This window comes from Homo sapiens, chromosome 16 (genome assembly GCF_000001405.40).
Source record: "Homo sapiens chromosome 16, GRCh38.p14 Primary Assembly".
Taxonomy (NCBI): Eukaryota; Metazoa; Chordata; class Mammalia; order Primates; family Hominidae; genus Homo; species Homo sapiens.
This window is the reverse complement of record NC_000016.10, coordinates 88,139,018-88,161,027: the sequence shown is the minus strand read 5'-3', so window position 1 is coordinate 88,161,027 and position 22,010 is coordinate 88,139,018. Positions and strand designations below refer to the sequence as shown.

Sequence of the window (22,010 nt, the reverse complement as noted above, 5' to 3'; positions counted from 1 at the left end):
CACTAAATTTTATATTTTTAGTGCCCAGCTAATTTTTGTATTTTTAATATAGAGACATTGTTTTGCCATGTTGGCCAGGCTGGTCTTGAACTCCTGATGTCAAATGATCCGCCCACCTCGGCCTCCCAAAGTGCTGGGATTACAGGTGTGAGCCATCGCACCTGGCCTTTAAAACCCTTTTTATTTCCTGTGCTGCTCACTGTTCCTGCCTGCTGGCGGCTGGGTGGCTCAGTGTATCTCGCAGGCTGCTGGGTGGGAAAAGGTGCAATGTCAGAGCCGGGCAGCAGGTGCCACGCCTCTCCCACCACCAACGGGAGGTACAGCAGTGCCTCAACCCTAACAACAGCGGGAGGCACAGTGGTGCCCCAACCCCTTGTTCTGGACCCACCTGATCCCCAGAGGGAAGATTTTAGCTAAGTTGTTGTGAAAAGAGTTGAGAAAAGCGAAAGGGCTGGTGGCTCCTCTCAGGCCTCGCCAGGCCTCTGCCCACGGCCCACATGCCTCCCGCACCCGCAGAAAAGACCGCGATGGAGCCAGGAGCACGAGGTCAGAGTGCAAAGTGCGCAGGCAGCACCCCTTGCTCCCCAAGCACATTCCAGTGCAGTGATCAACAGCAATACCTCATTAAAAATGCCGGTCTCGGACAGATGCCGGCCCTAACAAGGAAACCGGCATCTCTTGCTGTCAATGGGAGGTCACTTCAAAAATAAAATCGTTTAAAAATCTGTTACATTCTAGAGAGATAATCTTGCCCACCAAAGTCTCCAGGCCTGATATTTGCCGTCTCTTTGCTCCAAAGGGAGATTGGCAAGCGACAGCCGTGGCTCCTTAGTCCCAGACCCAGTCTCCTTCCTTGTCGCAATCACAGGATTTGGAAAAAAGGCACAGGGGTCAGCACCCTTCGGTGGGTTCTGTGGGACTGATGAAAGCTGCATAGGTAGGATCATCCATATGGGATAGGAGAAAAGCCAGCAGAACTCACACTTCAGGAAACTGAGTCAGAAAGGGGGAAAACAAGCTACCCGAGGTGATCCAGGCAGCCTTGGGCCCAAATACCTGCTGCCTCCCTCTGCCATCAGACAGGCTGCCAGTTCAGACGGGGGAGGCAGCTCTTCTGCAGGATCCTCCCCTGAGCCTGTGCTGACGCCTCACAGTCCTCACTCTCTTATCCCTCAGGGACCATCCTTGCTTTGTGGGATGACAGCCTCACTGCCCACCGCTGGTGACAAGGGACAGAGATGGCTGCCCATGTGTCTGTGAAGACGACAAAGCCATTGCACAACGGGAGGTGAGAAACAGCACCGAGAATGCAGCAAATAATTTTAAATGATAGGAAAGTGTTAATATAAACACTTAGAGGCTTTGATGAAAGGCAGCTCTGTTTCAAAGTCAGAAAAGGAGGCTCAGCTGTTGTTTTTGCTTCAAGCTGATTTAGAGACGAGAATGCGGGGAAGGGCTGCTCCTTCCCACCCCTCTCTCCGTACGCTGCGCTCCACACTCTGCGCTCATCCGTCCGGGCCTTCCCTTCCCAGATCCCTGAAGCGCTTCCGTGCACCACATGGACACGAGATCCACAGAGCCATGGCCTGTCCCCCAGGACTCTGAGAAGATGGGATCAGATGGACCCGTGAGCCGTGGCACGGTAGAGACGGCTCCTCTGGGGTGCTGCACACTGCACGGGACACACACAGGCACAATCGCTCCTGATCTTTTCCACAATCTGCAGTGCCCTGAGACCATATGGACAATCTTGAGGAAACCAAGGGTGTAGGGGAAAGAGCTCACACAGACAGACGCTGCAGGACGGTGAGAGTGGTCCGCACGGCCCTGTGAGCATCCGTGACCAGGACAGTGAGTGGTCCACATAGCCATATGAGCATCCGTGACCAGGACGGTGAGAATGGTCTGCACAGCCCTGTGAGCATCCGTGACCAGGACGGTGAGAGTGGTCCATACAGCCATATGAGCATCCGTGACCGGTGCACTGATAAGACATCACCTCGTAGGCCACAAGTTCTGTACAAACTGACCCACCCCATAGGAAGCCCCACTGGACCAGCACGTGTGCACCTGGGGAGCTGAGGTCCCTGCCCCAGCGAGGTCTGGGGAAGGAGGATGTCGGAAGGCCCCAGTAGGTTCAGAACCACAACTTGATTCTGGGCCCCAGGAGCTGGAAAGGAGTCTTCCTGCAGAGCTCTGCCCCCCTGCACTGCCCGGTGCCCCCCAGACCCCAGTCCTGTCTGCACTCTGACTCGGCCTGGCTTCCCGCCAGGGAGGGCAGGAGCTGCTGTCCACAGGCCACAGATCCACTTTAGAAGAGAGTAGCAGAGCTCCCCAGCAGAGGGGCAGCGGTGGCCACATTCTCCCATCTCTTCCCCTCCGTTTTCCAGGCTCACGGTCCTCTCCTGCTGAGAGTGGGCTTCAGCCAGGTTGTCCAGCCCTGAGTCCTGACCAAGAGGCTGCCGGGACAGCAGAGATGAGGCCAGGCTTCTGCGCAGAGGCAGGCATGTGCCCAAGTTCAAGGTGTGGCAGGTGGTGCTTCCACTGTCGGAGTCCGAGGCCCCCAGCCTGAGCTCTCCCACCCTCCCCATGGGGTCCACAGCACCCCCAGATGGCAGGATGTCGCCTTGCAGCTCGGGGTGGGTGGGGCTGCAACCCAGACACCCTTGCCTGCCCCGGGGGCTTCCCGTGCCCCCACCCCACTCTCTAGCAGCGAGAGCACAGAGCCTCGGCTTTGTTACAGCTGCCCCCACTCCCTGGCCTCCCAGCCCCCACCTCCCATCTCCCGCCTCCCTGCTGTGTGGCCCAGAGGCTGCCTCTAACAAGGGTTCTCAAGGTGGGGCCCCAGCAGCAGCACCCCCAGGGGACTTGCCAGAAATGCACATTCTCAGGTCCCTCCCTGGACCCTGAGTCTATAGGGCTCAGGCAAGCAATAAGGCATCCCCTGGGGGTGGCGGACACCCCAAGAGCAGACCCCCGGAGCATCCCCGCAGCAGGACCTGACCACGTTGCCGGCCCAGGTGGCCTTGGTCTTGAGCAAAGCACTCAGAGCCTCGTGTGGCATCCAGGTCTTAGAGCTGCCTCTCCAGGACAGGAGAGGATGAGGGGCCCGTGAACCCCAACACAGGATCCCTGGTCATTCAGCAGAGACCCAGGCATCCTCACCAGGTGCCAGCACTTTGTACGGGCATGGCACCCAGCAGTGGCGAGGATGGCACGGTCATATAACAATGACACACAGGGAGCCCCCACCTGGAGCCCTGGACCCAGACTCGGGATGGGGGCTGAGGGAAGGCATCTGGGGCCCAGGAGGCCACCAGGAGCGGGGAGCTGGGCATTTCTTCACCAGCCCCACATCCAACCAAATAAACTTTCCTGAGAGAGTCCATCTGCTATGGCACTTCCAGCCCCTGAGAGGGTCTGTCATGGTGCTGTGGATAAGAGCAGGTTTGGGGGCCTTGGGAGGGGGTGGCGGAGGGTGGAGGAGAGATGGGTGCTGTCCCACCCTCACCATGGCTGGCAGACAAGGCTTGCTGCCCTCTGAGCCACAGTGACACAGAGGAGAGCCCTCACCAGGACACAGCTCGAACTGTCCACATGCAATTTTGCACAGGAGGTGGAACTGGTGCAAATGGATTCCTGGAGTAGGAGAGAGGCTCAGAGCCCAGGCCTCCCTGTGGTGCAACATCTTGTGTGGAAGAAAGTGGGCCCCACGCCTGAGGCTGTGGGGCTCCACTGAGTCCATCAGGCACCGAGTGTTCAGGGAGAAAGAGCACTGAGACAGCAGGCCTTCCTGAGAGAGCCTGTGAGGTGGGGGTGTCGGCTTCAGCCCCGAGAGAGCAACAAGCGCATGTCCCTCGGTGGCGCCGGCTGCCTGTGTGCCCTGGTGCTCATGAGTGATGGTTGTGGAGCCTCCGGGACACAGGAGCCCTGCAGAGGGGAGGGGCATCCCTGCATCGGCTGCATGGGCCATGGAGGCCCAGCAAGGAAACCCCGGCACCGAGGCCCATCTAGAGATGACTGTTGGGGCTGTGTTTTCTTCGAGGCTTTGTTACCAAGGACATTTTGTGCCAAATCCCTGCCCCTCACCTGAGATCATCGTCCATCTCTGTGAAAAGACAGAGTAATTATTTCCATCCCTGCTGGCCAGGTTGGGTGTTCGTGGGCCAGGCTGTTGTTGGCATGGCAACAAGACAGGGCTGGGAGTGGTGAAGCCTCTGCCTGCACAGTCAGCTGGGTCATGCTGCTTGCTTCCCACCAGCCAGCCCCCAGCAGCACCTCAAGTCCCTCCAGGAGAGAACATCCCTGTCCTTCCTCCTCACTTTGTCATCACCTGGTGCTCCAGGGGTCTGTAGGATGCCAGGGCATGGATAAGACATCCCTCCTGTGAATTATTTCATTCAACCCTTGTAATAGCAATATGATGCAGGTATTAATTTTTATCCTGATTGCAAAGATATAAATCTAACGCTTCAACTTCTCACATGTAGGTTCAATTGATTTTCAACAAAGGCATCAAGACTATTTGATGAAGAAAGAATAGTCTTCAACAAACAGTGCCGGGACACCTGGATATCCATGTGCAATAGGATGGAGCTGAACCCCTACCTCACACCATACACAGAAAGGGACTCACAGTAGATCAAGGGTAAATGTAAGACGTAAGACTATAAAAGCCTTAGAAGAAAGCAAAGGTATTAATCTTTATCACCCTGGGTCAGGCAATGGTTTCTTATATATGACACCAAAAGCATCATAAGAAAAGAACAAATAAATAAATTGCATCAAGATGAAAACTTCTGTGCAAAAGATATCATCAAGAAAGTGAAAAGACACACAATGGGAGAAACTACTTGCAAATCACACATCTGATAAGGAACATGTATCTGGACTATATGAAGCACCTCTACAACTCAATAATAAAAAGACAGATAACCTGATTAATATATGGGCAAAAGAACTAAACAGGCATTTTTCCAAAGCAGATACACAATGGCCAGCAAGCACATGGAAAGGTACTCAGTGTCATCAGCCACCAGAGAAGTACAAGTCACAATCATGCGAGAGGCACCTCACACCTATAAGCACGGCTGTAAGAAGAAGGCAGACAGCAGTGAGTGCTGATGAGAACGTGGCGATGACGAGGCCCTCATGCACTGCTAGTGGGAACGTCATGGTGCAGCTTCTCAAGTTAAACACAGCAATTCCACTCCTCCGTGCACACCCAAGAACCAAAAGCCGATGCCCACATAGAAACTGATGCACCAGTGTTTTCAGCAGCGTTATTTGTAATGGCCAAAAAGTGAAAACGACCTAAATTCCCACCAAATTCATGCATAAACTGTGGTCCATCCACACCATGGAATATGATTCAGTCATACAAAGGAATGGGGTTCTGGTCCACACTGCAACATAGATGGAGAACGCCATTTGGAGTGAAAGAGGCCACAGGCAGAGGCCACGTCTTGTGTGATCCCGGTTCTGTGAAACATCCCGAACTGGCAAATCCACAGAAGCAGAAGCAGAGGACTGGTTGCCAGAGGCTGGGGGATGAGAGGATGGGAGTGGCTGCTCAGTGGGGACAGTTTCCTTTTGGGGCAACAAGAATGCTCTAAAATTGATTTGGTGCTGGCTGCACACCTCTATGTCTATAACCAGTCATCACTGACTTGTACACTTTAAAAAGCTGAATTGTATGGTAGGAAAATTATGCTTCAATAAAGCCGTCATTCAAAACAGTGGAGGTTCAGCAGGGTCAGCAGGGGGCTGCACACACACCAATGGCAGAAGCAGGACTTGAACTCAGCCCTGTGGGCCGGCACTTGCAGCTGCGCTCCATGGCCCACTCTGGACTTGCAGGCTCTGTGTCTGTGTCCCCAGCTCTGCATCTCCTCACCTGTGCCAGCCTAGCCCTGTACCCCATGGAATGCGGTCTGTGAACCAGCAGCATTGTGGTGCCCGGGTCTGCTGGTGATGCAGAATCTCCAGCCCCACCTGGACCTGCAGACGGGATCTGCATTTTGTCTGCCGTACAGGTGGCTCATGTCCACATTAAAGCACGGGTTGAACCCTGCCACCCACACCCCACTGCCCAGAAGCGCTTGCCAGCTGTTCCTGGATGTAGATGAGTCACATCAGAAGCCAGGTTAGTGAGGAAAAAAGCCCATGATCTGGAGCGAGAAGACCCAGGCTTAAATCCCGTCCGTGCCACTCCTGTGCACATCCCTGCCTGCGTTCACCGTCCCCTCGATGGCACGGGCAGCTGCCTGTGATGTGGCAGATGCTGCTCTAGGGACACAGACAGTGATAGACAAATGAACAGAATCCGCCCCATGCAGCTCACAAAATAGCGAGTCTAAGCAGCCCTTACAAACAGGAAAGTGAGCAGCCAGCCCTTCTCTCTGAGCCTCAGCTCCTCCTCAGCAAATGGTGATGGGGATATGCTGGCCTTGGAGGCCAGCGAGGCTTCAATCAGGAAACACAGTGGCCTGGAAATGGCAGAACTTTCTACGATGGTACCATGGTTCTTCCCAAAGTGTTTTTTGACAGAAGCAATGGGGCAGACCGGGTGCGGTGGCTCACACCTGTAATCCCAGCACTTTGGGAGGCCAAAGTGGGTGGATCTCTTGAGGTCAGGAGTTTGAGACCAGCCTGGCCAACATGGCGAAACCCCATCTCTACATCTCTACTAAAAATACAAAAATTAGCTGGGCGTGGTGGCGCATGCCTGTAATTCCAGCTACTTGGGAGGCTGAGGCGGGAGAATCACTTGAACCCGGGAGGCAGAAGTTGCAGTAAGCCGAGATCACGCCACTGCACTCCAGCCTGGGCGACAGAGCTAGAATCCATCTCAAAAAACAAAACAAAAACAAACCAACAAACAAAAAAGATGCTTAGAAAAGCATGAAGGCTTGGCAAGGTGCCATTACACACCATGATGGAGACTGACCAGAGGACCGGAGAAGCTGGAAACACTAATTCACACCTCCTGTGGATTGAGCTGTGTCCCCAAATTCATACCTTGAGGCTTAATTAGGCCCCAGTGTGGCTGTGTTTGAAGATGGGGCCTTTAAGGAGGGGGCTTAGGATAAATAAGGCTTTGAGAGTGGGGCCCTGATCCACTGGGGCCGGTGCCCCCTAGGGAGAGGAGGAGACACCAGGGATTTCTGTCTCCCCTTCTCTCTCTCACTCTCATTCTACCCCGATGTATGCACAGAGGGAAGGCCCTGTGAGGACATGGGGGAGGAGACGCCATCCGCAGGCCATGGAGAAAGGCCTCAGGGAATCCAACTCTGTAGGGCCCTTGACCTTGGACTTGCAGCCTCCAGAACTCTCAGCAGCAAGCGCCTGCCTCAGGCACCCGGGGCTGTGTGCCTTGCAGGCGGCCTGGGCTAACACAAGGCCTCCCGCAGTCCACAGTCAGCGACCCTGCTGAGGGCTGCTATGACCTTCTCGCCTGCACGTGCCATTTGTGTCCCCATAAGCAAAGGTCAACCTCACCCTGTGACGGGCAGGTGCATCCTTCTACCCACTCGGGAAAAATCCTCAGGGCAATGGGTAAATTCTACCTTATTTTCCCAGCCACTGTTTTGCTTCCAAAACACCAGGTAGCATCACCGATACCAAGGTGTTAGCATCGGAAGAGACAACGGAGACTCTTCTAGACCAGCCCATTGCTTTACATGTGAAGGGATACAGGGAATAACTAGGGTTAGGGTGCTCAGTGTGGAGCCCAGCACCACCGCAGGCCCCCCACGAAGGCGAGGGGACACCCCGGAACACCCTGATTGGAGGCTCCGCTGTGGTGCAGCCATTCAGCCCCCCACCTGGGTTCCCGGAGTGCAGAGAGAACGAGATTGGGCTGGAAATGGGATACCCTGTCCAGCCTGTGCTGGGCACTGTCCACACCCCCGGCCCCGCCAACCTGCCCGGGGCAGCAGGAGTTCAGAAAGAAATATCCTGTCGTGGGAGGGAACCCTCGCGCCACCCCCCATACAGTGCAGAACGTCACCACAGCAGCAGACGCCAGCCGGAGCCACGGTGCTGGGGGCATGCCCCGCCAGAGCCCTTCACGGCCAGTGAGGTGGAGGAGACGGCATTTGGAGCTGATCCCCTTGACAGAAACTTGCCCCGGCTCCAAAACCATTAATGAAAACGCAAATGGTTTAAGTCTGGGAAATCATTAGACAGCGGTTTGTGTCAGAAACACAAAGCAAATCACCCTGGCTGCGGCCTCCCTGGCAACTCTGCAGTCCTTCCGACCCTCGCCTTCCCAGAAAGGGACAGTTTCTCTGGAAATGAAGAGAGGGAAGTGATTTACCAACTGCTAAGTAATTCTTACATTAAAAAAAAATCCATCCAGAGGCCCAGGTAGGGGCAAATGGTTTTTTCCAATTAGCACAGAGGTAGCTACAAAGCACCACAGAGCCCGCCTGTGGACGCCAGGACTCCGTCAGGGCTGGCACAGGGGGGCTCAACAGAAGACCCAGCCAGGGACAGATTCCACAGAGAGGCATCCAGCGCGCCAAGCAGACATCAGCAGCACGGATCTGGGACCGCGGGGGCAGCCAAAATCCACAGCTGCCGAGGCCCCGGCCCCAGCCTCGGCCAGCACCATAGACGGAAAAGCAGCTGCGCTCCCCCAGCCCCAGAAGAAACCCTGCAGAGGAGTGTTGGAGAGCTATGGAAACCAGAGCGTGTCTGTAGGCTGCTCATGGCTGCCCGTGACTTTTCCAACGCCAAAGCCCATCTCAGAGGGTTACGCGTTAGGGCCAGAGCAAGGTGGGGCCCGGTGCAGAATCTTAGCCAAATGGTGATTTTTTCAACACATTTAAAATGAAATCTTCCTTTCGCTACAGTTCTCAGAATTGTTTTTGCATCCACAGCCTGAGACGCCTGCCCTCCTCCACCCATGGCCTCACCTCCAGGCCATCTTCTCCAAAGCCAGCTCTCTCTGTGGGGCTTTCCCCACACCCTGCCCCCAAGAGCTGAGAAGCAGGCGTTTCCATCTCTTCTGTGTAAGAAGGGAGTATCTACTGCTGGTGTGGGAACATCAGCTCCTCCGCAGAAACATCTTTTACACAAGTATTTATTTATCAGAAAAGGGTTTTCTGAGTTTCTGGGTTCCATGACTTTGTTGCTCAGAGCAATTCTGCACTTTTGCTGTGATGAATGCGGGGACGTCTTTACTAAGGTGCCTTAAAAATTGTTGGAGGCTTCCTGCCAAAGCCTGGGCTCAGGTTCTTGGGAGCTGTAGCTTGCAATTCAGAAGTGGCCGAACGAGGATCCTTCTCGACCAGCAGGTTGGGTTACGGGGAACATTTACAGCAGCAGCCAACTGAGGGTGCACACAAGTATTGTTTGGTTTTAAAAGAATGATTATGATACTAATGGTGCCTACCAATCCACACGGAAGACACTAGAAGCAGTGGTGTGAGGCACACAGTTATATTAACAGCAAAGGACTGCAGCAGACGCCACCCTGGCAGAGGTCTCACCCAGAGCCCTGCGCATCTGTGGACTTTTGGACAGTCGCTTACAGGTGAGCACCGCAAAGCGAAATTGGTTGGAAGCAGGGAGAGTCTGCGGCCATTTCTGTCCCGCCGTTCCATCGGGAAACACTCATTCTCTGACACGCAGCCGCCCAGCGCTCCCCGGCTTCCGTGTTTTAAGCTTTGGCTGAGTCACCGAACACATCAGGCTGGCTGACCACGTGGACGCTCCTGGCTGACCACGGCCCGCGCCCGTGTGATCTGGGGTCGTCCCGGCTGACAGTCGAGGCCTGGATGAAGCCCGTCTGCTGGGTTTGACAGTCGGCACCAGTCCCCAGGCGGCCCCTGAGGGTTCCTGTTTCAAAGGAATAAGACTTTGTTTGCAGAGGGGCTGCCTTTGGGTTGAGCCGGCAGAGGAGCTCACTGAGGTCCCAGAAAGCTGCCCCCTGTGGGGCTTCACCTGGACGGGTGCTGGCTCTGGAGTCGCGTGTCACTTCTGTGCCATTTTCATTAGTGAGTCGTAAATTATACATAAGCACTTTCTTCCTGGACTTCTTTGGACGATACTTTCAAACTCCATGGCTCGAAACCCCTTCCCCGGGCCTGAGGAATTCAAACCCCTGCCTCTACCCTCAGTTTCCCCACCGTGGCGAGAGATGAATGACGTGGCGCAGAATTCCACAGCCTGCCTACCGGAACCCCACGGCGCTTCTACGGCCGGGCCAGTTTCATGTTCTTCCTTAGAGGCTGCTTCCTCAAAATTAGCGCCCTCCCACCCCCCTCCCAAAGTCCGGAAACTCGAACCTGGAAAGCTCAAAGCTCCCGAATCGGCCCCACCCAGTCCTGGTGCTTCCTGTTCATGGCACTTTTCCCAGGCCGGCAGGATTTTCACCGTGGGTCCAAAGACCACCTGCAGCCAGTCGCCTGAAGGGCTGATTCACAATGCAGCTTCCTGGGCACTGTTCCAGGCACTGAGAGTCCACCCACAAAGGGGGAGCAGCTATTTGCCATCAGCAACCCCTCCGGATGACCCTAACACCCACCTGAACGTGGAGGCAGCTCAGAGGGCAAGTCTAGATTTTACCCAGATGCTATGGCTTGCCCTTCGAAATATTTATACAAAAACCAAAAAACAGCTGTAACTGAATCCAGAGAGGAAAATGGCTCTAAATTGATTTTTGCAGCACATTTTTTAGTTTATTTGTTTGGTTTTTTTGTTTGTGTTTTGAGATGGAGTCTCGCCCTGTCACCCAGGCTGGAGTGCAGTGGTGTGATCTCGGTTCACTGCAACCTCCGCCTCTCGGGTTCAAGCGATTCTTCTGCCTCAGCTTCCCAAGTAGCTGGGATTACAGACATTTACCACTACACCCAACTAATTTTTGTATTTTTTAAGTAGAGACGGGGTTTCACCATGTTGGCCAGGCTGGTCACGAACTTCTGACCTCAGGTGATCCACCCGCCTCGGCCTCTCAAAGTGCTGGGATTATAGGCATGAATCACTGCTCCTAACCAACAAATGTTTTTTGAACCCAGTGATGTGCTGGGGGGCTGTGCCCCTGCCTGACAGAGGTAGGCAACACCTGGAAAGTTCTATGGGGAGCACAGCAAAGCTGGAGGATGGCAATGCCTGTCCACCTGGAGAGGAGGGGCATGTGAACAGGGCTTTGAAGGATAAGTAGGAGTTCACTGGGGGCAAAGGAGTTTATAGACCAGTTCCTCAGCCTGTTTTCTGAGGAGAAACCTGAGACTGAAAGAGGGAAAGAGAGCCTGCCCAGCACGTGTCAGGGGTAAAGCTGCAGCCAGGAGCTGAGGCCCAATGCCCTGGCATCATCCGTGTCTCCGGGAGCTGCTGTCCTGGCATCATCCATGTCTCCAGGAGCTGCTGGGGGTGCGGGGGGTTCTTCAGTGGTGAGACCATGGTACAAATCAGTCCCCTTGCTACTTTTGGACTGAGTGCAAGACTCGCCCACTGCTTGCTAAACTCCACTCCCCAAGCCACAGCGCTGCAAAGGGTGTCAGGAGAAGCAGAAAGGGTTGTTCAGGGATGCGCCCATCTCTGCACTCAGGCTGCGGTTGCACAGAGACAGGGCAGGAGAGGCGGGGGCCGACAAATGGCCTCTGTCAGGACACAGACACCGGCCTGACAGATAAGGGGCGGCTGGACGGCTTTGGTCTTTTCTGTGAAAATGAATCCATGGAAATCTCTCCCGCCCAGCACTCACCAGGGGAATTATCTCTGGCCGAGTGAAGGCCGGAGAGCCCACGGAGGTCTCCCATGTGGCCTGTGCACATCTCTTTCCAGGAAGAGCACAAAGAAGCGGGCCTGGCTGCTGTCCTTCAAGGAGAAGTTCCACAATATCAGCTGATGTGGTACCAGGAGACCTTGTGTGACCTTGGAGGAAAGACTGTGAGCTCAGCTTCTGACTCTGAACAATGACAAATGAACCAGGCCCAGCCCCTCCTGACCCCAGGGAACACAGGTGGCTTTGATTTAATAAATGGAGCAGGCACAAAGACAGCCAGAAGGGCCTGACCTCACCCTTGAGGATGTGATATGGTGGCCCGCAGTGAGGGTCCCTGCCACCCAGCCACGGCCAGAGCACCTGCCACGTGCCAGGCACTGTCTGAGTCCTGAGGACCCTGCAGCGTGTCCCACACATGAACCCCCCGGCACAAGAGGTCATGGCCACACAAGGGGATGCTCAGCTCCATGCCGGACTCAGGCCAACGGCCCAGTGAGAACAGAGTTGGCCCCAGCACGACGCCTCCCAACAGCCCAGCCCCAGAATGATGACAGCCTCACCGCCACCAAGGCAGGGTGGTGGCAGACGCCTGAGACAGGGTTGCCAAGCCCAGAGGGAGGAGCCCATCCAAGGCCCGGATCCACTGACAGCTTCTGGAAGGGGGTTTGCCTCAAGGACACCAGTGACCTGGGAGCTCAGGGACCCTGGAGAAAGGGTCCCATGAGCTCAAAGGAGCTGCAATTCACAGAGACATTGGTGCCGCAGCCAGGCTTCCACATTGCCCCTCTGGCCAGTTGTGCCCCACAGGAGACCTCCTCCCTTAGGATTCGTGATTAAAGAAAGACCTCACAGAGTGGGACGCTGGTGGGAGGCACCGCGCCAGGGCCAACTCCGCTCTCCTTGGGCCATTGGTGTGTGTCCGGCATGGAGCAGGGCATCCTCTTGTGTGGCTGGACCTCCTGTGCTGGGGCATTCATGTGCAGAACATGCTGCAGGCCCCATGGGGGTGGTGGAGCTGGGAACGAGGCCCCGAGGGAGTCTCTGAAGGAGCAAAACACCACACGCCTCTGCCCCTCAGAGGGGCAAGTTGGTGAGTGAACACACATTGATGCGTGGGAGGAACTGGGGGAAAGCCCCATTGCAGGCTACAGAGCAGGGTGCAAAGACAGGTGACCGCTGGCGTACACACAACGACGAAGGAAGCTGCAGTCGCCGCCCCACTGCAGGCTGCAGAGCGGGGTGCAAAGACAGGTGACCGCCGGCGTACACACAACGACGAAGGAAGCTGCAATCGCTGCCCCATTGCAGGCTTCAGAGTGGGGTGCAAAGACAGGTGACCGCTGGTGTACACACAACGACGAAGGAAGCCACAATCACTGCCGCCTGTGATTTCTCTTCAACACTCAGGGGTCCCTTCCATAGGCTGTGGTTTCTCTTCAACACTCAGATTGCCTCCACATGGGATATTCTCTGAGCTCAGCTGCCTGGTCAGCTGCACGTGGGCTGTGGAGGGCAGGAAGCCCCTGTGATGACCAGGAGGCCAGTTTGCATCCAACATGCTCACAGTCTAAGGGGTATGTTGGAATGCCCCAGGGTTGAGCAAGCAGCTGCCCAGGGACTCCCTAGCTGGCAGGGGGCACAGCGTCCCGTGAGCACACTGCACCCAGCAGGTGCTCTGCTCACTGGCCTGGAGGTCCCCACCTCCTCCAACTCACAGGCCCCTCCCTGAGAGTGAAAGCAGCCTGGCCTCTCCTCCCAGCACCGACCAGAATCTCTCCTGGCTCCCACCCACACCCCTGGGGGCTGGGATTCCATCGGCCTGAATTCGCAGCCCTGGACCCCAGTCGGTGCTCCCCACCCGAGAGCTTCCTGTGTCTCCCACTGCTGCCAGAACGATGGCCACAGTCTCTGTGGCTAAAACAACATGGACTGACTTTGGCGCTGAAGGTCAGAGGTCGACGTGGGACTCCAGTCTCCCTGGGCTACGGTGAGGGCACGGGCAGGCTGGCTGCTCCCGGAGGCTCCAGGGGAGAATCTTCCCCACCTTTCCAGCTTCCCAGGCCCCTACATCCCTTGGCTCGTGGCCCCTCCTCTGCCATCAGAGCCAGCTGCGTGGCAGCTCCAGTCTCTCCGTGGCCTCGTCCTTCTGCCTTCCTCTTCCAAGGACTTGAGATGACAGGGAATCCAGGGTCCTCTCCCTGGAAAGGGAACCTCAGTCACATCTGCAAAGTCCCTTTTGCCACGTGAGGGCACATGTTTGCAGGATCCAGGGATCAGGACATGGATGCCTCTGGGGCTGTTATTCAGCAGACCCCTCCTGACGTGGGGACAGTTTCTCTGAGCTTGAGACACCCCCAGGAGGCCACCCACGCTGTACCGTGCTGGAAGCCCCACTGCCCTCTCTTCCAGCGTGCTCTTCCGGCCCCTTCAGCCTTAGTCCACCCGTTGGTCACGTTCAGCCCCAGGGGTCCCTTCCATCCTGGAAGCCCCGTGAGTGCCCTGGAGTCCCTCCCGCAGGCCCTTCAGACAGCAGCCCCTTCTCTCAGGTGCAAATGGATCTCATGGGCTGGAAACCACCCTTGTGCTGTGTGGAGGGCCAGGGAGAGGTGTAAGGAATGCCCCCCCACAAATGCACAGCACACGGGAGCAGCCGTCCCCAGGGCAGAGACTGGAGACGGTGGGAGAGAAGAGCTGTCCCCATCCCTGGGGCTTCTGCTTTGGGCCCTGGCCACCAGATTCTTTCCCAGGAGCCCAGAAAACCCCACGGGGGCTGAGACTGGGGGGAGGGTGCCACTCTCCCCGGGCCTCACCTTAGCTCTGTGCTGCACCTGGGGGCGTGAGACCCGGGTCCACAGGGAAGAAGGTTCCAGCCACGGCTGCCACTGCAGGTGGCATGGCTCCTCCTGACCCCAGAGAACACAGGTGGCTTTGATTTAATAAATGGAGCAGGCACAAAGACAGCCAGAAGGGCCTGACCTCACCCTTGAGGATGTGCTACGGTGGCCCGCAGCGAGGGTCCCTGCCCCCCCGCCACGGCCAGAGCACCTGCCACGTGCCAGGCACTGTCTGAGTCCTGAGTCTAGTCACCTGGGCCCGGGTGGGTCGTGGTGCCGCTGGTGCATGGATGCCTGAGCAGCCTGGACTGTGCCCAAGGAGCTGGTGGTTCCGGCATTACAGGCAGCAAGGAGGGGTGCACAGCCAGGGCGAGCAGGCAGGCCCTGCACCGGGCACCGTGTGGAGGGAGGCGGTGTTGGATGAAGCTGCTGTTCCTGTTCTCAAGCCCAGAAAACACAAAGTGGCCCAGTCTCCCAACACGGGACTGCGAGGCCGGCTGGGAAAATTCCAGCTTCTCGGCCACTTCCCAGAGGCCGGACCGCTGGGCCCTGGTCTGAAGGCCCCATCAGGACACTCACCACTCATCACCCCACATCTGCCACCCACTGCCCTCATGGCCTCGGGCCACAGGAGGCTCCAGCGGCAGGGGGAGCCCGTCCATCTCCCAAGCATCCTTCTGCAGAGCAGTTGCCCGGCACTGGGGGCTGGGGCAGCACCCTAAGCCTGCAGCGACGGGGCAAGAGGCCCCCTGGGATCGGGAATAAGGAGGACGTGAAAGCCCAGCCAGGACACAACATCCAGCTCTGGTCTTCACTGGGCCCCTAGGGGAGCCAGAGAGGAGAATTCTTGCCAGAAGAAATTAGAAGCCATTTGGAAGACCAGACCTGGCAGCAGAACCACCACCCTGGGCCCATCGCAGGCACCTCTGCACCAACAGCGGCAAACCCAAGAGGGCAGCTCGGCCCGGTGAACAGCGGCCAAGCACGAGGCTCGCAGGGGCTGGATGGCAAAGCTAGTGCTGTGGGATTCCAATGCGTGAGTTTGAGAAAGGCATCTGGGATTTGCCACCAATAGCCCAGTGGGAGGGGAGGTGGGGGGAGCAGAGATAGCACGAGGGGCCGTGGTGTTGTGGCCCAGCCCCAGGTGGCATGCATTCATTATGTGTGTGTGTTTGAAATGCTCCAAAATAATTGCTTTTAAAATGCTAGTCGGTTGACTGCAAAGCTGTTTCCCTGAACATGACACATCACCCTTCCCTGGGACTTAAGGTCACTTAAGTTTAAAGATTTTTTTTTTTGTAATCGTTAAATAGGCAACAATGGGCCGGGTGCAGTGGCTCATGCCTGTTTGGGAAGCTGAGGTGGGCGGATCACTTGAGGTCAGGAGTTCGAGACCAGCCTGGCCAACATGGTGAAACCCTGTCTCTACTAAAAATATAAGAATTAGCTGGGCGTCATGGTGGGAGCCTGTAATCCCAGCTACTCAGGAGGCTGAGGCTTGAGAATTGCATGGGCCCGGAAGGCGGAGGTTGCAGTGAGCCGAGATCACACCATTGCACTCCAGCCTGGGCTACAGAGCGAGACCCCGCCTCAAAAAGAGAAAAAAAAAAAGGGGGGCAAAAACAGGGCATGTAACTTCCCAAGATAAGAGACTCTAGAATATGGACACGTCTAGCAAACAAGGAGAAAACAGCTACAAAACCCAACAAGTTGAACTTCTCACTTCACTGTCTGAGGCTGAAAAGCAAGGATAGAGCTTCGCCTTCTCCTTAGAGTTCAGGATTTCGCTGGGCCACACGGGTGATGACAGAGAGAACATACGTCTTAAAGAGGCTTTGGAATCAAAGGCCAAAAATTAGCCTAAAACATTTCAAATGCAGCACACACTGCGTCTGTGACCTCATCTGTCCTTGAAAATAGAAAAATGTGCCTCAAAGAGCAAGAAAAATCTTTAAATGTCACGTGTCACGGGCTGGGGTGGCTGGAGGGACGTGATGTCCTCCGTCCTCTCCACCAGGGCAGAGGCAGCTGGCGTTAATCACACCATCCCCTTATCTCTGCCCTACCTCCTGAAAGGACATGAGACAGCTACGTTGACGCCAGGCAGAGTCCTGTTTTATTCTGGTTATGGCATCTCCTGGCCAACACTGTGCATGGTTCCCGAAGTTAAACGTGACCCAATCAACAAACAGACGTAGTAGGGACTGGCAGCTCTGCCGGGACCAGAGAGACGCCCCCCGCCCTCCCCACCACGCCTTTGGCCTTGTTGTGGCCTCTGTCCCACCGGCTGCTCACTGCCACAGGCTGGACCAAGCCTCTGCCCTGCTCCGGGACGGCCCCGGGCGTACCTCTTCCATCCCCTCCTCTGGGGTGTGAGGCCACTCCCCACTCCTGTCTCCCCAGCAGGCGGGTTCTGCCTCTGACCCTGCGCCGTTTCCCCTGCGCCTGGCACGTGGCAGACCCTCGTAAACGCTGACGATGGGCGGGAGGAAGGGCAGATGGGAGGCCCAGAGCCAGGGGCTCTCGGTGTCCTTGCGAAGAGGAAGGCAGCGAACACAGGGAAATAGCGGCGGGTCCTTGGTCTGGTGCCGCTGGCCGCCAGCCAGGCAGACAAGTGAAGATGCAGGAGACACAGAGCCAGTGCATGGCCTGGGAGGACACAGGCAGGGGCCGATCAGAGGACACATCCAGCCGGGACCGCTCCCCGCAAGGCTGCGACTTGTTCACAACGTTCCCTTAATTAGAGCAAACGTGTGTGATGTTTCTGACAAGCTGTCATCATTTAACAGCAAGAGACAGACGTCAGACACAAAGGCAGCATTTTCACCCGTGTCTGACACATGTCAGCCCTGGGCCTGGGCCACCTCCTGGCTTTCTTCTCCTGCTGCAGGGAGACGCATGGCCATGGGCCACGCATGGGGGGAGCAGAGGCCCGAAGGTGGGGGTGATCCCCACTTCCAGTTCCAGGCTGGTGGTTGCGTCTTAGGGGGAAGGAGTGGGGGGGCATCTGTATCCCCCCAGCAACAAGGAACACAGCCTCGGTGCCCCACCCTGCTCGGCGCCCCAGCCCGCTCTGCACCCCACCCCGCTAGGCGCTCCACCCCGCTCTGAGTGGTGCCTCCTTAAGGCTGGAGACGGCCCTGAGTGCGTTAAGCACGCTAACCTATTCCATCTTCATGGTGTTGAACAGGTTGGAACTGCTGAAATCTCCATTGACACAGGGGGAAACTGAGGCACAAAACGATCAAGCACTTGCCCCTGATGCCATGACTGAAGAAGCTCCAGGTGGGCATTCCGTGGGCAGGGCCGCTGAGCCCCCCACCCCCCCAGGGCTTCTCCAGGTGAGGATTCGGTGAGTGCTCACCGGGTGTCGGTGAAGTGCCTGGGGCCCCATCTCAGCCTGTCTCCTCCCATCCTAATCACAGGCCGGTGAGGTGGGGATTGCCACCCCCAGTTTTCAGGCAGAGAAACTGAGACCTCTGCTTGTCTTTATTCCTGAGACTCTGATTCTGCCGCAGGGGCTCTCCCTGAGGGGCCCTGTGCTCTCAGGCCCCTGTGCGTGGAGGGTGACGATGCCATCCGTCCCACCCTTGTGGGCCATGCTGGCCCCAGGCTGCACATCCAGGTGGGGCTGGGGATTAAAGCCAGCACACAGGTGTGACCCACATCAGGGACCCTCGGGTGGGATCCACAGCGACGCAGCTGCTGCCGGCCGACTCCCCGCAGGGTGAGCTGATGAGCCTCCCCAAGCCTCAGTTTCCTCCTCTGTAAAACAGGGTGGTGACATGTGCTTTATAGACCAGGCAATAGAGTTCGAGCCCCAGGGCCACACCTGGCACATCACGTGTGCTCAGTAAACAGAAGCCATTCTTCAAGCTCCTGAGACTTGAGGCTCACGCTGAGGTCTGTGCTGTTGATAAGGACCTTCTCAGTCCTGAGGCTGGAGTTCAGTGCTTGAGGCTCACACTGGGCTGTTGATAAGGACCCGCTTAGGCATCACTCTGAGCTTTTCAAGGTCCCTCCCATCTATTTCCACTTTCGAGCCTCAGGATAACCCTCGCAGGATTCTGGCCCGCCAACATCATCTGCCCAGCCTGGATGGCAGGGCCAGGGCCAGGAGGTGAAGGTCAGGTGCCTTCGCCTGACCTAGCAAAGCAGGGCAGGGCTGTGGCTGAGAGCCCAGGGAACCTGCTCACCCTCCCAGGGCAGCCTTTCCCAGACCCCCCGCCCAGCCGGGTCTTGCAGGAAGGACAGCTGATTTATTCTCACCTTCTTTCTCTGCTTCCCTGTGCTGAACGTGGCCCTGCAGTTTCACCCTGGACGCACCCTTGGACATCGCTGTGTTGTTCCCCTGGAAGCCTGTTGAGATCCTGGCCGCTGTGGACTATTTCCTATCATCTGCATCAGGCATCTCGAGCTCAGCTCAGATCTGCACACATGAGCCTGTCTGCGTAGCCTCCTGCGGCTGCAGTCACAAATGGCCCACAGACTTATGGCTGAAACAACACGAATGCATTCTCCCACAGCTCTGGCGGTCAGAAGCCCAACCGGCTCTCACGGAGCTGAAATCAAGGTGTCGGCAGGGCTGGTCCCTTCTGGAGGCGCAGGGAAGAATCCCTTTCCTGCCTTTTCTGGCTTCCAGAGGCTTCTGTGTTCCTGGGCTCATGGTGCCTCTGACGTCACCACGACCTCTGCTGCCATTGCCACTGCCTGCTGCTGACCCTCCTGCCCCTGGCCTCCCGCCTCCCTCCTACAAGGATGCCCGTGATGACCTTGGGCCACCCAGATGACCAGGATGGTCCCCACCTGGAGGCCTCTCGCTCAGTCCCATCTGCACAGGCCCTACTGCCGTGGGAGAGGCACACAGCAGGCTCCGGGGACCAGGACGGGGGTGCCTCCCAGGACCTCTTTCCCAGGCTGAGCGTTTCATAGCAGGCTCCGGGGACCAGGACGGGGGTGCCTCCCAGGACCTCTTTCCCAGGCTGAGCGTTTCATAGCAGGCTCCGGGGACCAGGACGGGGGTACCTCCCAGGGCCTCTTTCCCAGGCTGAGCATTTCATAGCAGGCTCCGGGGACCAGGACGGGGGTACCTCCCAGGGCGTCTTTCCCGGGCTGCATGTTTCTTTCCTAGTCCGACTCTTGTCTTCTAACACTGGTTTTGGTGTCTTTTGTTACACAACTGCTTTAACTTCTTATGTAACTGAAGACGTCCATCTTGTCCTTTTTGGGATTAGAATTTGGGGTAGAAAGTCTTTTCCTCCACCAGAATTATACAACTATTCTATTTTTCTACTAATACTTTTATACTTTTTTTGCAATTTAGCGGATTTATCTGCACAGAATTTATTGTGTCCGTAAGGTGGGGTTCTAACTTTGTTTTTCCAGATGGTGGATTCATTGGCCCAACGATGCCTCTGAATGATTCTTTCCTCTCTTTCAAACGTGACCAATTTCCTACATTAAATTCTCTTGTAAAGGGCCATACGCTAGACTTGATTTTTTTGTTTTTTTGTTTGTTTGTTTTTTTGAGACAGAGTCTCCTTCTGTCACCCAGGCTGCAGTGCAATGGCATGATCTCAGCTCACTGCAACCTCCGCCTCCTGGGTTCAAGCGACTCTCCTGCCTCAGCCTCCCAGGTAGCAGGGATTATAGGCGCCCGCCACCACGCCCGGCTAACTTTTGTATTTTTTAGTAGAGGTGGGGTTTCGCCATGTTGGCCAGGCTGGTCTCGAACTCCTGACCTCAAATGATCCACCCACCTCGGCTTCCCAAAGTGCTGGGATTACAGGCCTGAGCCACTGCGCCTGGCCTCAATTTAAAATCCACTTACCTGTTTCTATACTGAAATTCCTCCTGGATTAACACAGTTTTAGAGTATATTTTGGTAACTAGAAGGGCAAGGCCCCCGGCTTTTCTGCAGGATCTTTGAACATCGCGTCTCTCACGTTCTGCCTGCTCATTTGTAAATCAGTGTTGTCACTGACTTTCCGTGCTACCCCCCGATTTCTACGTGGCTCCGTCCTCCTTTCCTCCGTGCTACCCCCCGATTTCTACACGGCTCCGTCCTCCTTTCCTCCGTGCTACCCCCCGATTTCTACGTGGCTCCGTCCTCCTTTCCTCCGTGCTACCCTCCGATTTCTAAATGGCTCTGTCTTCCTTTCCAAATATTTATTCCTCCGTATTGTATTTCCCCGGCCACTTTTCTTACCAGCTCTCTTACAGCTTCCATTTAATATAGCCAAAGTTTTTTTTTATGACTATATTTTTCATTTAAATCGGTTCTGCCACTTCAATGCCAAATCCATTTCTCTTGCTCTGGACTTTCATTATGACTCCCTCTTTTGTATTAAATAATTTTAGATAAACACATGTATTTCCTGCTGTTCAATTATTCCCTGTCTGCACAGTGCTGATTCTGTGTTCACTGCACTTGATCCTGACAGTTCGTTTCTTCCTGTGGCTGTTTATTGGAGCTCAAACTCGGTAGGAGTTATTTTGTGTATCTTTTGTTGTTGATGCTGTTGTTTGGAGACTGTCTCACGAATGCTGGGCTGAGGAAATGTCCTCATTTACCAGATCCTCTGGCCTGGGGTTCTGTGAATTTCCGTCTTAGGGATTCTGTGCTGTGCTAACCATGCAGTCACCAGACTCAGGTGTCGAGAAGGTCTGGAGATTCTATTTCTTATGGGAAACTTCTTTCCTCTACTCAAAGCCTGGACAGACAGCAATTTTCCTCATCATGTCCCCAGGCCAGGGGACAAAAAGGTTTCAGATCCACTTTTCACAGCAATTTTCTTCATCACGTCCCCAGGCCAGGGGACAAAAAGGTTTCAGATCCACTTTTCACAGCAATTTTCTTCATCACGTCCCCAGGCCAGGGGACAAAAAGGTTTTGGATCCACTTTTCACAGCAATTTTCCTCATCACGTCCCCAGGCCAAGGGGCAAAAAGGTTTCAGATCCACTTTTCACAGCAATTTTCTTCATCACATCCCCAGGCCAGGGGACAAAAAGGTTTTGGATCCACTTTTCACAGCAATTTTCCTCATCACGTCCCCAGGCCAAGGGGCAAAAAGGTTTCGGATCCACTTTTCACAGCAATTTTCCTCGTCACATCCCCAGGCCAGGGGGCAAAAAGGTTTCAGATCCACTTTTCACAGCAATTTTCCTCATCACATCCCCAGGCCAGGGGGCAAAAAGATTTCAGATCCACTTTTCACAGCATGCGCAGTTCCTTGGGGCTCTGAGCCTCCTGGCTGGGCTCATCCCAGCTTCCAGCATGTGGGATGCAGAGCAGTCTCTGCTCTGACGCTCATCACAATTCTCAGGATCTCCGAAACACCCTCTCATTTCACTCTTCATTTCTAGTCCTGAAAGCTTTCCCGGTCTTTCTTTCAAGCTTGTCTATGGACTTAAAATGTTGCAGGTTACATTTCACCCAGA

The 22,010-nt window shown here is 55.6% G+C and overlaps 1 protein-coding gene across 1 annotated transcript in view, besides 1 other annotated feature; it reads right to left on the bottom strand.

Moving 5' to 3' along the window:
* Window positions 1–22,010, bottom strand: part of ZNF469 (zinc finger protein 469) — a 339,823-nt gene that overhangs the window by 279,726 nt on the left and 38,087 nt on the right. The window lies entirely within an intron of this gene.
* Window positions 12,713–13,340: an enhancer, noted in NCBI's record as "H3K4me1 hESC enhancer chr16:88181294-88181921 (GRCh37/hg19 assembly coordinates)". NCBI's record gives its function as "activates a minimal SCP1, AML or CMV promoter by ChIP-STARR-seq in primed H9 embryonic stem cells {active_cell/tissue: H9 hESC(primed)}" and the evidence as "EXISTENCE:reporter gene assay evidence [ECO:0000049][PMID:30033119]".